General features: G+C 40.2%; 1 protein-coding gene across 8 annotated transcripts in view; it reads left to right on the plus strand.

Annotated features, from left to right (window-relative positions):
- ADGRL2 (adhesion G protein-coupled receptor L2) overlaps positions 1-17,346 on the plus strand; it is a 687,801-nt gene that overhangs the window by 315,911 nt on the left and 354,544 nt on the right. The gene's annotated exons all lie outside the window — the stretch shown is intronic.

Consider the following 17,346-nt stretch of genomic DNA (forward strand, 5'->3'; position numbering starts at 1 on the left):
ATGCATCTTAAAAAGTAGAGGAATAAAACTGTGGATAGATAGGATAGAAGCTAGGACTTTTTTAATGATAACTTTTTTTCTCATCATTACAGAACTAATATGTGTTCACTGTAGGAAGTAAATCATAATGGAGATGACTCATCCAAATCAACAGCACAAGAAATGTGCACTAATATTGTCCATTATTCCGCTGGTCTTATGTATATATATGTGTCCAAAATATGGCACCGTGGGTCCTTTAAAACCTACGTTTTTTTTGGCCGGGCACGGTAGCTCATGCCTGTAATCCCAGCACTTTGGGAGGCCGAGGCTGGCGGATCACAAGGTCAAGAGATAGAGACCATCCTGGCCAACGTGGTGAAACCCTGTCTCTACTAAAAATACAAAAATTAGCTGGGCGTGGTGGCACACGCCTGTAGTCCCAGCTACTCAGGAGCCTGAGGCAGGAGAATCGCTTGAACCTGGGAGGCGGAAGTTTCAGTGAGCCAAGATCGTGCCACTGCACTCCAGCCTGGGCAACAGAGTGAGACCCCGTCTCAAAACAAAAAAACCTATGTTTTTGGGGGACCAGGCACAGTGGCTCATGCCTGTAATCCTAGCACTTTGGGAGACAAAGGCAAGAAGATCACTTGAGGCTGGGAGTTTGAGGTTACAGTGAGCTATAATTGTGCCACCGTACTCCAACCTGGGCAACAGGGCGAGACCCTGTCTCTTAAAAACAACAACAAAACCTATATTTTTAAATTAGCAACATATCCTGCATGTTTTTCCAGTTATTTAGTGACCTTAAACATCATTGTTAATTTTGTTACTATTCTGACATGATATTTCATTTTACATATATGATTTAATTCATTTAATGAATCTGGAAAGGGACAGAATTTGAAGCAACTGTAAAAATGTCCAACATATTGGGCATTTGGGAAATTTTATTAAGTGGTCATCAATGTTACTCTGAGCCACATCAGAATTTTCAATTTTAATGAATATCACCTAGTGATCTTAATGCAGATTCTGATTCCAAATAAGACTCAGGTCTGGGGTGGAGCAACAATTCTTTATTGCTCTAAGCTTATAGCTGTTACTGATGCTCTTGGTACTTGGACATACTTTGAGTAGGAAGAGACTATATAAGGGAGACACTAGAATCAACAGCCATAACTTGGAACTGAAAGTTTGGACCAGGGGAGATGCAGTAACAATGAAAGTTACAAGACATTGACAGATATTTCAAAGAACAAACAAGAGAACTTCAAGACAAATTAAATATGGAGCATAAGTGTGATAGAAGATTTAAAAATTGTCTCTGTTTCCTAAATTAGAAGACTTCAAGATTAGTGGTGCTATACACAGAAATGTAGTCAATTTTAAAAGACTGGGATGAGGTTGATTTTAGCCATGTTGATTTTAATATAAGAATAGGTTATTGTTGTGGGTTGAGTTGTGTCCCTGAGAAAGATATGTTGAAGTCCTAACCCCAGGTACCTGTAAATGTGGTTATATTTGGAAATAGGGTATTTGCAGATGTAATGAAGTTAAAAGGAGATCGTACTAGGTCAGTATGGGCCCTAAATCCAATGACTGATATCTTCCTTTTTTTTTTTTTTTTTTTGAGACAGAGTCTTGCTCTGTCACCCAGGTTGGAGTGCAGTGGCGTGATCTCGGCTCACTGCAACCTCTGCCTCCCAGGTTCAAGCGATTCTCCTGCCCCAGCCTCCTGAGTAGCTGGGATTACAGGCGTGCGCCACCACAGCTGGCTAATTTTTGTATTTTTAGTAGAGACGGAGTTTCACCATGTTGGTCAGGCTGGTCTCGAACTCCTGACTTCATGATTGGCCCTCCTCAGCTTCCCAAAATGCTGGGATTACAGGTGTGAGCCATCACACCCAGCTGATATCTTTCTAAGGTGGGGACTGATATCTTCCTAAGATTTGGAGACACAAAGACACACACAGGGAAGGAGGCCACGTGAGGATGGAGGCAAAGATTGGAGCAATGCAGCAGTAAGCCCAGGAGTAGCGAAGACCATCCAAAACAACCAGAAGCTAAGAAGAGGCAGGGAAGAACAGTCTCCCAGAGACCTCAAAGGGACACCGATACCTGGATTTCAGACTTCTGTTATCCAGAACTGTGAGAGAATACATTTCTGTTGTTTTAAGCTGCCCAGTTTGTGGTATTTATTATGGAAGCGCTATGAAACTTAGGTTGGTGCAAAAGTAATTGCAGTTCTTGCCATTAAAAGTAATACAGTTATCTGGCCGGGTGCGGTGGCTCACGCCTGTAATCCCAGCACATTGGGAGGCCGAGGCAGGCAGATCACTTGAGGCCAGGAGTTCAAGACCAGCCTGGCCAACAAGGTGAAACCCCATCCCTACTAAAAATACAAAAATTAGCCAGGCGTGGTGGCCCGCGCCTGTAATCCCAGCTACCCTCGGAGGCTGAGGCATGAGAATCACTTGAACCCAGGAGGCAGAGGTTGCAGTGAACCAAGATTGTGCCACTGCCCCACCCCCCCCAAAAATAAAAAAGTAATACAGTTATCTAATTGCTGACGTTGTGAAAACAAATAGAAGTATGAGATTGGAGAACATACTGGTCAGAGATAGAGATGTCAATTTTAGAAACTTTACAATAAAAACTGTAGTTCAAGTTTAAATAGTTCAAGCCATAAAGAAAATAGGCATATATGGAGAAGAATTAACTGTATAACCTTGAAATCCCCTCCCAGTTAAGGAAACTGACTGTGAAGTATGGCAACCCCCCAAACTCATTTAATGTCTCTTAGCCCCACTCTCCAATTCCGTATAAAAGAAGAGGCTGAATGAGACAAGCATTGAGTTGCTGTGCAGCTCTATTATTTTACATCCATCATTAAGCTTATACTTTGTCTAGACACTGGGAAGCTAAGAAGCAGTAAGAGCAAAGTACAGAGTCTCTTTGGTGATCATGACAATAGGAATACCTTGTGCTGTGTCTTTCTGGGAGAGTTCAAAACACTTTTATCTATAATATACAATTAATCCCAACACCTTCACTCTGAAACAGAACAAGCATTATCATCATTAAAGGATAAAGAAACCAAGACTCGGGAGAGTGAAATGAAAAAGCTCCTTCAGTGTAATATATTTCCTGAATGAGACAGAATGCTTATCAGGAGAAAACCTAATGAAAATACTAAGAACATAGAAATACCGCAAGAGACACATCACCTTCTCTCCCTCTCCCTCCTTCCCTTTTTCCCTCTTCCATATCTTCCTCCCTCCCTCCCTCTCTCCTCTAAATTTCCTTGCCCTTATTTGTAAAAATAGATTTTTCATTACAAAATATTTAACACGTGACAAAGAGAAATAAGGGGTATGTTGGGTGACCAGGAAAATAGGTATTTTTCTTCCTTATATGTTTTTTCTTCCTCGAGTTAATGGATAAAGAAAAGTTGTGTTAGATACTCTATCATTTCTGTAAAGCTGTCAGTTTTCTCCAGTCTTTGAGGACTGGAGCAGTTATCAGTGGTGTTTTACTTACGGTAAGAAACTGCAAGGCTGCCAAATTCATGTCGTGAGAGTTGAGCCTCATTTTATTCTCTAGGAAAAACCAATTCTTAAGCTGTCTTACCCCTTTAGAAGAGACATTTCCAATATGCTTCAACAAAGTATTAAAATTTTGCCTTTTCTTTACATTACAGTTGCATTCTTTGTGGTGCTCTTACCTAGAAAGTTGAAAAACAAAACCGCCAACATCAAATAGTCTACATTAAAACAGAAGCTCCACCAGCAACCCAAACTTCTTATTGGCAGTAAGCATCTTTAGAACAAACCACACTTAAAAATAATGGTATACTTGGCACAAGTTGAATTGTGGACTATATAGAGTTAAAAGTTCCTTATTTTAAAAAGCTGTCAGAGAGGAATTTTCATTCTTTCATTTGCCTTTGAAGAGTGAGTAGCCTGCAGCAATCTCAGCTATATTTTTCCTCCGCGACACAATAACAATCCCAAGTGACACACCTACCGAATGATTACAAATTGTGTTAGGCTGCAGGAATCTGAGACCCAAAACACAGGGGCTTCAACACTCTGTCACAAAGCCCGATCAGGAACTGGTTGCTTTCCAGCTGGATTTTCTAGCAGTACTTCCCTAGAACTACTCCACCCTTTTCCACACCTTGCCTGGGAAATATCAAAGACCAAAAAACAACACCTAAGACAAAGATCGTAGTGTAGCTACCAATCAGTGAACATGAACTTTTGCTTTAATGAACTCTATCCCTTTTTATTTTTTTTGAGACAGTGTCTCACTCCTGTCACCCAGGCTAGAGTGCAGAGGTGCGATCTCAGCTCACTGCAGCCTCAACCTCCCGGGCTCAAGCAGTCCTCCCACCTCAGCCCCCTAAGTAGCTGGGATTACAGGCGCAAGCCACCACACCCAGCTAATTTTTGTATTTTTCTGGAGACGAAGTTTCACCATTCGGTAATCTGCCCCCCTCGGCTTCCCAAAGTGCTGGGATTACAGGCGTGAGCACCGCGCCTGGCCTGAATGCTGTACTTTCACATAAGCTATAAAACAGGACAAGTGGTATCCTCATGTAAAACATGTAAAAACACACGCGGGCAGTTTAGCTGAAAACATTATTCACTGTAACAGAGTCAACTGGCCAGGGCGGTGGATGTGGGAGACACTCTGAGGCCTCTGGACTAGATGATCTGTGAAGGAATGTTCTACTTCAGTCCTTTGACCAATGCCTCAGAGCAGGCATTTTATAAATATTTGCTGATGTGTGTATAAAAGCATTTGTACCTATACTTTACCAGTGGGAGGAGAATATTGGCAGTTAGAGTTTCATGACGTCTTATACATTCGTGAACACCAGAATGGTAAGGGGTGTGGGTGGAGGGTAGGTGGGGACAGCTGAGTTAAAAATAAGGAGAGGGGCTAGACATGCTCTTTTTGCTTCAGTACTTTATTCACTATAGTTATGCCAAGCCAGGTACACATCCCACTTCAAAGGGTTTTTGTAGTACCCCTAGTAATTTTCAGTAAATGTTAGCTATTATTATTATTATTACTATTATTATTGTTATTCTAGAAATGGATAATGGATTCAGAAGTCATGAAAACCAAAACCATATTTCCATAACAAATGCGTGTATAAAGGCCCATGAACATTTTCTTTAAAAGCCACATACTTAAATGTATATATTCGATTTATCCAACTAACTTGCTGCCCTTCATGCCTGTGTCTTTTCCCATAATCTGAACTGCAGACACTTTGTAAAAGGTTCCCTGCCCCAGAATAGTTGTGCAGCGTCAACTCTTGGGTAAATCTAAGAGGGACAGGCCTTTAATTGAGCTGACTTTCCAAGTCATTGAGCTGGACACTGAGGTAGGTTGAGCCATATTTGCTGCTATGAATAATAATACTAATAATAGCTATCATTTACTGAGAGTTTACTATGTGCCAAGTACTCCATTAAGCCCTTTATTTTCATTATTTTATGTAATCTTACAACAATCCTACTAAAATGTACTATTATTACCTCTATTTTCGCTATGAAGAAGCTGAGGCTCAGAAAGATTAAATATAATAATTTTTGTATGATCATTCTGGAACTGTATCATTTTCTGAGTGGAAGCAGACTGAGAAGTGTGGGCAAATTGAAAACAGTAAGACAGAGAGCTTGAACTGGATCAGAATTATAATTCCAGGCATATCTCAGCTAAAATAGTCAAAGCAGGGGACTTTGAGAGATCCTCTGAAGCTCTAGAATGCCACAAGCTCCCAAATTTGAATATTCCTGGCCTCAGCTCAGCACAAGATGCCACAGCCTGGCCATGGCCCACTGCTGTGCTTAGATCCTGAGCAGCCAGGAGCCATCCTTGACTAGTTGATTCAAGAATCACCATCAGCGGTTTGTATCTTCTTGGCTTCCTGAAGAGCCAGGCTTATAGTCTAACAATCATATTCATTACAGCCAATCACAGCATTTTTTGGAGCTGCTCTTTCAATGTCACCTTCAGGTCCTGCATCACATTGAAAAAATATATACATATTAATCTTTCAAGGTTGAATTAGACTCTTGGACCCACTCAAAGTCATTGAGATCTAAGCTTGATGAGAAAGGTGGAGAGCCAGCTAGGTAAATAATATTGAAACTAAATAACATCAGTCACAAAATGTAAGTAAGAAAATGTATTCTGAGGGCAACTTGAAAAGTGGAGAATTGAAGATGTTCAGAGTGAGGACATCATTACTGGGCTCTACGTGTGCCCTCTCGGAGCTATCATTTGGGTGTGTAAGTCCCAGTAAGTGTGTTAAGCAATCACAGTGGATACTTAGTAATATTTTCTTATGGTCCTGTGGCATCTCTCACCAGCTAACTAAATGTCCAGCCTTGATAACTCTTGATTGGTATAAATCAACATTTACTAAGTGTCTGTTGAGTGACAATGAGCCAGTCACTCAATACGTTAACATATTTTTTTTCTCACAACAGCCCTGTGAGGAACTTGAGATTATAATCCCATTTACCAGATCAGGAAACTGAAACCATGAGCAAGCCCTAAACTACCTATTTCCTCAGCAAATTAGTTTTTAAGTGAAAGTGATGCTGAAGAGAATGCTTTCTTTACACCATCACAGTTGCTTCAGTCTTGGCTTTTCCAACCTCTCTCCAAGCAGAATATTTAGGGAAAACAGAACTTTCTCACTTCTAAATCAATCAAATGGCATGCATATGTTATAACCTCTTCTCAAATCAGAGAATGAATTTTTTAGGCAAAAAAATCTAAAGTTGTTTTACTTTACAAATATTTATGAACTGTATTAGATTTCTTTACTTCTCTAAGAAATGACAAGAAATAATGTGATTTATTTTAGATAGGCTTTAAGATTATTTAAAAGCTCTTACATTTAGAGGATAGTACCTGAATCACAGATTGTATATTATTCCTAAGTCTCATTAGAGTTTTCTAGGAGAAAGTCATCCTTATACCTACCAGCTAGTAGAGTATCTGCCAATAGAATTTATAGTGCAAGAGTGACCATTAACTCCTATATCTTTAAAGCACATTTCTCTTAGAGACCTTGACAGTTTAGACATAGGGCAAAAGCTTCATTTATTGACTTTTACTTGAAGAAGATGAAAAGGGTATTTTGAAAAGAAATAGTAATAAAAATAAAGGTTGAATCCTAACAGCCTTCAAAGAGGAAGATGATAATACCATGCATATGGCAGTTAAATATATTTTTCCTTAGTATTAAATATTATATCATATTGAATGCCTGAAGGTATTAACAAAAACATCCCTATACCTTATAAAATCAGATGTGACACTATCTAAGGCAGTATTTTCAAACTAATGGTTACAACTCTGAAGCACATTGTTAAATCTATTTAGTGGGTCATGAGCAGCATTTTTTACAAAAAAAAATGAATAGAACAGATTATTTTTGAAAATAAAAGATTAGAATAAAATAGAATGTATCAGCATGCATAACACATGGTAAAGTTTTATATTATGAATGTTAATTCCATATGCACTACTGTTTCCTTATCAAATAGAATAGTGCTTGGATCATAACAGGCAACAGAGGAATATTTGTTGTTAAATGAATGAATGAATGTATATGTGTGTGTGTGTGTGTGTGTGTGTGTGTGTATGTAGATATATGTATACATATGTATGTGCATGCATGTATGTGTTTGTGTGTGTATATATATGTATATATATAGTAGAGATTGGGTTTTGCTATGTTGCTCAGGCTGGTCTTGAACTCCTGGCCTCAAGTGATCCTCCTACCTCAGCTTGCCAACGTGCTGGGATTGCAAGTGTGAGCCACCATGTCCAGCCTAATTTTTTATTAATCCTTTATACTAAATCATAATGTAAAATGTACTTCTTACTGTAGGACAGGCTAAAAACTTTGGAAAACTGTGTGTGTGCGTACATATCCATATGTATATATGAATATATATATATAGGCATATATATAGACACATACATGTATACACATACACATAGACATATATAATACATAATAATTGCACATACATATATCTAGTGTTTTAGGACAAATTTCCTAGAAGCAGAGCTGAGATAGGCATTTTAGTGACATATTGAGAGAGTGCTGGCAGGGGACACCTGTAAGGCAGGGACATTAGCTGAATAAGACAGTGGAGAGAAAGCAAGGCAAAGCTGTGGTTTCAAGAGTCTAGCCTCCCAGCCTTCTCCAGGAAAGGCAGCTCCCATCAGCCAAGAGCAATCCCCATCCAGAGGAGTGGGCAGTGACAAGGCTGACTCCTCTCAGCTAATAACTTTTTATTCATTTAATCATCGAATACTTTTTGAGCGCCTACTCCATGCCCAGAACTGAGGGAAGCCCTAGAGTCTGAACCAATCTCATAGAGATTATAGTTTACTAGATCAAAGTCCAACTGCAATTTTTTAAAAAAGGTGAAATACATATGATAGAAGCCTTTGTAATAGGAAAAGTGGTTATTTCCATCATAAATCGAATTCCTCATATGACCTTCGAGTTTCTTTTATGCCTCAGTTTTCCTAGAATTTTAAACTTTCCACAATGAAACCAGCACATGCATTTAAAATGAGGTGATATGCATGTGGAGTTATATATTGGGCTTGATTAGCAGCCTAAAGGAATTTTTAAATATACCAATATTTTTCAAAAATATGTAAAATAGGCTACAAGTTTAAAGTTTGCAATCATAAAAATAATTATATGAAGTGGCAAAAACCCTGTCAACTATGCTATTGATATGGAAATAAAAAGTTACATTTCTGAAGAAGAGAATTTAGCAGAATCTTAACAAAGCCAACCAAGCAAAACAATTTCTAATCTACTGCTGGATTCTACATAGTCTCCTAATTTTAAATGATGTTTTAAATATTTGGGTGATTAAAATACGAAGCTACAAAACCTGATTTTATGAGACTTGTGGAAATACATTAATACTAAAGAACAGTGAAAAAAATCTAACTTATTCTCATTCTTGCACTATCCTCATATTGTTTTTTTCAAGAGTGCATCAAAAATTTCTACCTTTCCAATATGAGTCCAAAATGTAGATTTAATCATGTCACTCACTGGCCCCACCACCCTCACTACCTCCAGCTTATTTACAGTTTGGAACCAACCGACCTTCTTTTCTTTTTTCTTTTCTTTTGTTTTTTTTTGAGACAGAGTCTTGCTGTGTTGCCCAGGCTGGAGTGCAGTGGCCCTATCAGGGCTCATTGCAACCTCTGCCTCCCCTGTTCAGGCAATTCTCCTGCCTTAGCTTCCCGAGTAGCTGGAATTACAGGTGTGCACAACCACACCCGGTTAAGTTTGGTATTTTTAGTAGAGTCAGGATTTCACCATGTTGGCCAGGCTGGTCTGGAACTCCTGACCTCAAGTAATCCGCCTCCCAAAGTGCTGGGATTACAGGCATGAACCACTATGCCCAGCCAGGAGACCACACTTTGAACAGCAAAGTCTAGTACCTTGATTCTCAAACTTGACTGCATTTGGAATTACGCACCGATATCTAGGTCCCATCACCAGATACTCTGACTTTTCTGGTATGAGGTGCAATGGATCATGGAGAGTTTTAAAACTCCGCAGTTGGTTCTAATGTATAACAAAGTTTAAGAAACATTGGTTTAATATATACCCCAGGTCTGATAATTAGGTCCTTGATTGTTCTACTTTGTGTGAGATCTAGTCTCAAAAGTCTACATAACATGATTATCGCCATTCTCACTTCCCCCTGCCTGGACCCCCACCAAATCACACACTGGAGCATTTCCTTGAATGGCTGGTAAAGATCTGCTAAATTTGGAACGTTTTCCTTGATGCTGATTACAGTTCCTGCTTGCCTGGATCTTTAAATCTGGGCTCTGACATTGTTGGCTCTGAGATTTCCTATCATGGCATTTTTCTCCTGCCCATCAAATATTTATTATATAGCATTCTATAGCCACATAAGAAATATTTGATAGCATACATTTAAAAAGAATCATTCATTTATTTATTCAATTAAATCCTTTACCAAGTACCTATTATGTGTCAGGCAATGTAATAGAATCTGGGGATATGGCATTAAACAAAACAGACAAAGTAAAGCCCCTAGCCTATTGATACCTATATGCTAATGAGAGAGACGACTACAAAGCAAACACATATTTAGACTGAGCTTAAGTAGTGGTAAAAGTTATGAACAAAAATAAAATAAAAGGATAAAGAGCGACAGAGTCAGACATTTCACATGGGATGGCCTTAGTAGGACCTCCTGTGCAGGAACTATTGGAGCAAGACCAAAATGAGGGTAGGGAGAAAGCACACACATCTGGAAGGAAGAAAATTTCAAACAGAGGGAAGAAGGGCAAAGGCTCTGAGTGTGCAGCTTGGAGTGTTTAGGGTAGAGTAAGAAAGTCATAGGCCCGGCACGGTGGCTTATGCCTGTAATCCCAGCACTTTGGGAGGCCGAGGCGGGCAGATCATGAGGTCAGGAGATCGAGACCATCCTGGCTAACATGGTGAAACCCCGTCTCTACTGAAAACTACAAAAAATTAGCCGGATGTGGTGGCAGGCGCCTGTAGTCCCAACTACTCGGGAGGCTGAGGCAGGAGAATAGCGTGAACCCGGGAGGCGGAGCTCGCAGTGAGCCGAGATCGTGCCACTGCACTCCAGCCTGGGCAACAGAGACTCCGTCTCAAAAAAAAAAAAAAAGTCATTGTGGGCAGAGTTGAGGGAGCAAAGGGGCTATGTTAGGAGGTGAAAAGGTGGGCAGGGGCCGGATTAGGGACAGCCAGATCAGACATAGTAAGGTCTTTTATTCTAAGTGGGATGGAAGTCATTGGAGGGATTTGAGCAAGGGATTTAAAAAGGATTGACTTGGCTATAATAGATTTTTTTATATACCAAAGTCTATTTGACAATGTTTGTCTAGCCTTTTCAATTGCTAACCTGATTGTGAATGTTTTAGGATATACTACAGAGGAGGTTTATCAGACCAGATGGTTCTCCACTCCTTTCATTTGTTTGATGGTTAGATAACTGTTCTTCAACTCTTTAGTCCCAATATACAGAGAGAAACCGTGAGCTTTTATATGGGCTGCATCTTTGTAAAATTCTACCTTGGCTTTTAAAATATAGATATGAGTGAATGGATAAGGTAATCTCTCCTTTAAAAGGAGTGCTCAAATATCTCACACATCCCATCTGGATGCCTAACAGGTATCTCAAACATAATGTAGTCAAAAGAGAACATGCTGGGCGGGCGCAGTGGCTCATGCTTGTAATCCCAGCACTTTGGGAGGCTGAGGCTGGCAGATCACTTGAGTTCAGGAGTTCAACACCAGCTGGGCCAACATGGTGAAACCCTGTCTCCACTAAAAATAAAAAAATCAGCCAGGCATGGTGGCACACACCTGTAATCCCAGCTAATTGGGAGGCTGAGGCAGGAGAATCACTTGAACTGGGGAAGGGGAGGTTGAAGTGAGCCTAGATCACATCACTGCACTCCAGCCTGGGTAACAGAGCAAGACTCTGTCTCAAAAAAAAAAAAAAAAAAAAAAAAAGAGAACCACCGATTTTCTCTACCAAATCTACTTCTCTTGATTTCAGTAAATAGCACCACCATCTAACCAGTTGTTCAGGTCAAAACTGAGTTGCCATCTTAGATTCCTCTCTCATCCTCATCTAATCCATCGTTAAGTCTTGTTGTTTCCACCTCCAAAATGTTTCATCAATTAACCACTTTCACCCGCACTACTGCTACAACATTTATCTCTACCACCATTTGCAAGGCTAAGGGTAAGGTCAACCAGACACCCAAATCATGATGAAGGCGGTAGTAACATAAATGACTCTGGACTTCAAAGGAGTGTTCTGGGCTAGAGATATCATTTGAAAGACTTGCGGGTGCCAGTAGTATTTAAAGCCATAAGACTGTATGAGATAACCTAGGGAGTATATAAAAATGAGAAAATGTTCCAGGCCCAAGCCCTGGAGCACTCCAAGAAAGAAGACTGTGTAAGAGTCCCAGAGAGATAGTAGAAGAATCAAAAGAAAGTGGTATTCAGGAAGCCAAGGCAAGAGAATGTTTCAAAAGGAAGAAGTGATCAGTTGTGCCAAATACTTCTTATAGATTAAGATGAGGACTAATATTAACCACCGAACCCAATTAATCTCTTGCCCAGACTACTACAAAAGCTTCCTAATCTATCTTGCTCACTCTCATTAGGCCTCTTTATGGACTGTGTTCCACAAAAAATCCACAGTGATCTTTCCGAAGCTTAATCATATCAGAGAACTTCTCCACTTAAACCCTTCAATGGCTACCCATTGCAAGTGGACTTTAAAAAGGCAAAGTTACACATCATCTGGCTTCTGCTTGCCTCTCTGAATTTATCTCCCTCCATGTTCCCCCCACTATGCTCCAATTATGTTAGCTTTAAGTTAGCTATCTTGTTTTTTTTTTTTTGGTTTTTTTGTTTGTTTGTTTGTTTTTGAGATGGAGTCTCGCTCTGTCACCCAGGCTGGAATGCAGTGGTGCGATCTTGGCTCACTGCCACTTCTGCCTCCTGGGTTCCAGTCCCAGCCTCCCGAGTAGCTGGGATTATAGGCACACGCCATCACGTTTGGCTAATTTTGTATTTTTAGTAGAGACGGGGTTTCACCATGTTGGCAGGCTGGCCTCCAACTTCTTACCTCAGGTGATCCACCCACCTCGGCCTCCCAAAGTGCTGGGATTACAAGCATGAGCCGTCGCGCCTGGCCTATGTTAGCTTTCAGTTAGATTCTGTAGAAGATACACACTGTTGATGGCCTATCCTTATCCTGCCTGCAGTTGAAGAGTTTTCAGCATTCTGACAGTTTCTCATCTTTAGCACTGTGTCTCTTTTTGTGTTTGCCTGAGGGCTTTCTTCAGGGGTTTGCTTGACCTCCACAGGTGCAACCTAGAAGTGCTGGGGCTTAACACCCAAGAATTATACTCAACCAGTGAGATAGGGGAGAAGGCAGATACATAGCCTATCCTCTTGGTCTCTGGTAGGATGATCCGGAGTTAAGTTCCAAGTGGTTTATCAAAGGAGCCCCAGAGCCCCAGGGGAAATGAGCCTCCGTCATCCACAGCAGTAACTTACTTATAACATACCCTTTATTGGCTTTCCTCTCTCCGTGTTCGCCTTCTCCATTTCCCCTCTGGTGCTTCCTGGGGTGACTTCCCAAATAAACTACCTGCACTCAGTCTTTATCTCAGGGTCTATTATAAGAAATTCGAAGGAAGACGCATGCCCAGCCTCTTCTCAGCCTCTAGCTTTTGCAGGTGCTCTGCCTTCGACTTAGAAAGCACTTCTCTCAAACCTTTGCATGTCATCTTATCAGTGGATGTCTTAGTCCCTTTGGGCTTCTAGAACAAAATGCCAGAAACTAGTAAGCTTATAAACAAGAGAAATTTGTTTCTCACAGTTCTGAAGGCTGGGAAGTCAAGGGTCAACGTGCAGACAGACTTGGTGTCTCGTGAAGAGCTATTTCCTGGTTCACAGATGGCACCTTCTAGCTATGTGCTCACAAAACAGAAGGGGTAAGAGCTCTCTCTTGAGCTCCTTTTATAAGGGCCCCAATCCCATTAATGAGGGCTCTTGTGACCTAATCACCTCCCAAAAGGCCCCACCTCCTAAGATATCACATTGGGGCATAAGATTTCAATGTGTGGATTTGTGGGGGGCACATTCACACCACAGCAGTGGGCTTCAACCTGAATGTTTCATCATTAAAGAGCTCCCTGTCCCTTTGGTTCAAGTAGCTTCCATCAGTCACTCTATCCCTGTTGCAACTTCTTTATAGCATCAGTCAGTGCTAAAAGTTATCTGATTTATCATTCCATGAGTTTATCAGCTGCCTCACTTCTTCCGTCCTCACACTCAGCACATATCCCAGACACAGTCATGAGACACAACATTGTAAGAATTCCTTAAAGGCACAGACTGTCTCTCAGCTTCCTTGCTCAGCCCCTAAAACAGTATCCAGACTAGAGGACCCAGTCAACATTTGTAGACTGGCTGACCTAAGGCCTTGCTTCTCATAGTGGGGTACATGTACTCCTCCCCTGGCTGCTCGGTGTTACATCAGAGAGTCTGTATTTACATATCCAAGAAGCACAAAATATAACATATCTTCTAGAAACATAAATTTGATCAGAAACAAAGTGTATATATATGTGCATATTTGTGTATGGGTGTAGGAATATGTATGTGTGTGTATGTATGTAGGAAATATTTAAATCATTTACTTTTTAATAATTAAATTTTTATTTTTAAATTTAAACAAACATATCTTATGGAGTAACATGGGAGATTCTCATGGGCTTTTATGATAAAATAAGTGTTCACTGTCCCTTGCTTTAGGGGTACTTTGATGGGAAAGTCTAAAAGCCTTCCTCGGAGGGACCCATACTCTAATTGGAAAAGGGAGGAAACTCTAATGGGAATGGATGGCTACACAAACTGTCCCTATTTTTTTCTAAATTTTTACCATGTTCTCGGGAGCTTTAAAGCCATTACCCATACGTCCCCATTTTCTGGCCCAGTTTTCCCCAAACTGAGCTCGCCAGAACCATTAATTTATGTTCTCTAGAGATTAATGAAAATCTGTACTCAAATAAGACTGGAAACAGTAGACTAAACCTCCTTAGAGCCTTTAGTAAATGCTAATGTGCATTTTCATATACCAAAGAAAAATACTGTGTAATATACTCTTCTTCAAAATTTATTTGACCCTGTAATCCTTTTTAGAGTTTGTTGTTGGTGTTCAAACAGAGTCTCCCTCTGTCGCCCAGATGGGAGTGCAGTGGCGCGATCTTAGCTCACTGCAAGCTGTGCTTCCCTGGTTCAAGCAATTCTCCTGCCTCAACCTCCCGAGTAGCTGGGATTATAGGCACATGCCACCACATCTGGCTAATTTTTGAATTTTTAGTAGATTTGGGGTTTCACCATGTTGGCCAGTTTGATTGGTTGGTCTCGAACTCCTGACCTCAAGTGATCCACCCGCCTCAGCCTCCCAAAGTGCTGGGATTACAGGCATGAACCACTGCACCGGGCTTGTTGTTTTTCAAGTTGGGAAGCACTGCACTGACCCAAAAGGAATAGGATGGTATTCCAACCCTAAGCACATTTCCAGGTCAGATATCCTGCAAAGTGCTTTTCATAGGAGCTTGTATACCTGTGAGGTAAAGGAATAGTTATTCCTTTAATCTTCACAAAAGCCTTCCAGGTAGGAATTATAATCTTCAATTTCTGAAGAGAATATTGAGAAGTGAAATAATTTGACCCAGCTTCCACGGCTAGTAGGTAGTAGAAAGAGGATTCGAAACCATGTTGACCTGGTTCCAAGGGCCCTTTCTTCCACTTAGCACAGCTGAAAAACAACTGAAATGTTCAGAAGGAGCTTCTGCTGAAGCTACTAAAGAAAAGGATTTCTAGATTTCTAGATGTTCTTCTCAAAAATAACGAATGTATCAAAGGGGGTGGGGAATAAATATTTAATATTTTAAATGATTGCTCATTTCAACTGATCTTTTGAACTTATTGTTTGTAAAATATTGTTTTATATTCTTAGAAATAATTATTTTTAGACAATTGCGTGGAATTTTGAAGAAACAGACATTTCTGTTTGAATGCACTGTATATAATCAGTCCACACATGTTTCAATACATGGAAAACTGAAAATTTTTTCTGTGGCAAGATTTAAGAGATTAATCATACACATTTCTGAAGTAATTATGAACATATTAACTTAAAATTCAGCGTACCATACACCTAGTGAATGTCCAGTTTGTGGGCCTAAGAAAGCATACTTTAAAAGGTATGCTTTTTTTTTTTTGTCTAACTAACAAGTACACATTGACTAGGTAAACTCTTTGTTGAATTTGAATTGGGACTTAAATATAGAGTCATTCACCATGTAACTGTGGTTTGGTCAATGACAGACTTCATATACCGTGTTGGTCCCATTAGATGATAATGGGGCTGGAATTACTTCCAACTTCCTCTCAGAGACCACGCAAGCAAGAAGAGAGTGGAATAAAATCTGTAAAGTAGTGAGAGAAAAAAAAAACTCACCAACTTTGAATTCTGTACCCTGCAAAATTATCCTTCAAAAGTGAAAGAGAAATAGACTTTCTTTGGCAAACAATAATAGAAGGAAATTGTTACCATTAGACCTGCCTTGCAAGGAATGTTCTTTAGAGAAAAGGAAAATGAGAAAGGTCAGAAACTCAGATCTACATAAAGAAAGGAAAAGCATTAGGGAAGCAATAAGTGAAAGTAAAATAAAAACTTTCATTTTTCTTATTCTTAATTGATCTAACAGATAACAGTTTGTTCAAAACAATAATAGCAACAACATATTTGATTGTGTATATGCATGTATATGGCTATTTATACTTGTATAAGTGCGATAAATAACAGCTATAATAAAAGCAATGAGAGGGAGAAATTAGAATTATTTTAGTATTAAAAGGAACTCATACTACCCTAGAAATGACATAATGTTATTTGAAAGTGGACTTGGATTAGTTGTAAATATGTATACTGCAAACTCTAGGGCAGCCACTGGAAAAAAACTTTAAAAACAAGTATAACTGATATGCTGATAAAGGAGAGAAAATGGAATCATAAAAATTATTCAATTAAAACCACAAAAGGCAGAAAAAGAGTGGAAGACAAAAACAGGGGCACAGAACAAGGGCAGCAAGTAGAAAACTAACCTGAGCACATAGCGAAACTCCATCTCTACAAAAAAATACAAAAATTAGCCTGGCATGATGGTGTGTACCTATAGTCCCAGCTACCTGGGGAGCTGAGGTGAGAGGATCGCTTGAGCCCAGGAGTTCAAGGCAGCAGTGAGCCGTGATCACCCACTGCGCTTCAACTTGGGTGGCAGTGAGACCCTGTCTCAAAAAGAAAAGAAAAGCAGCAAGACCCAAGACCCAATTCTATGTCTCTGTAAGAAAGTTACTTCTTTTATTGTTGTTGTTGTTGTTTGAGACGGAGTCTCACTGTATTGCCCAGGCTGGAGTGCAGTGGTGCCATCTCAGCTCACTTCAACCTCCGCCTCCCAGGTTCAAGCCATTCTCCTGCCTCAGGCTCTTGAATAGCTGGGATTTACAGGCACCCACCACTATGCCTGGCTAACTTTTGTATTTTTAGTAGAGACGGTGTTTCACCATGTTGGCCAGGCTGGTCTCGAACTCCTGACCTCAGGTGACCAATCCACTTCAGCCTCCCAAAGTGCTGGGGTTTCAGGCATGAGCCACTGGGCCCCACCAGAAAGTTCCTTTAAATA

The sequence above is a fragment of the Homo sapiens genome, chromosome 1, assembly GCF_000001405.40.
Source record: "Homo sapiens chromosome 1, GRCh38.p14 Primary Assembly".
In the NCBI taxonomy this organism is placed as follows: domain Eukaryota; kingdom Metazoa; phylum Chordata; class Mammalia; order Primates; family Hominidae; genus Homo; species Homo sapiens.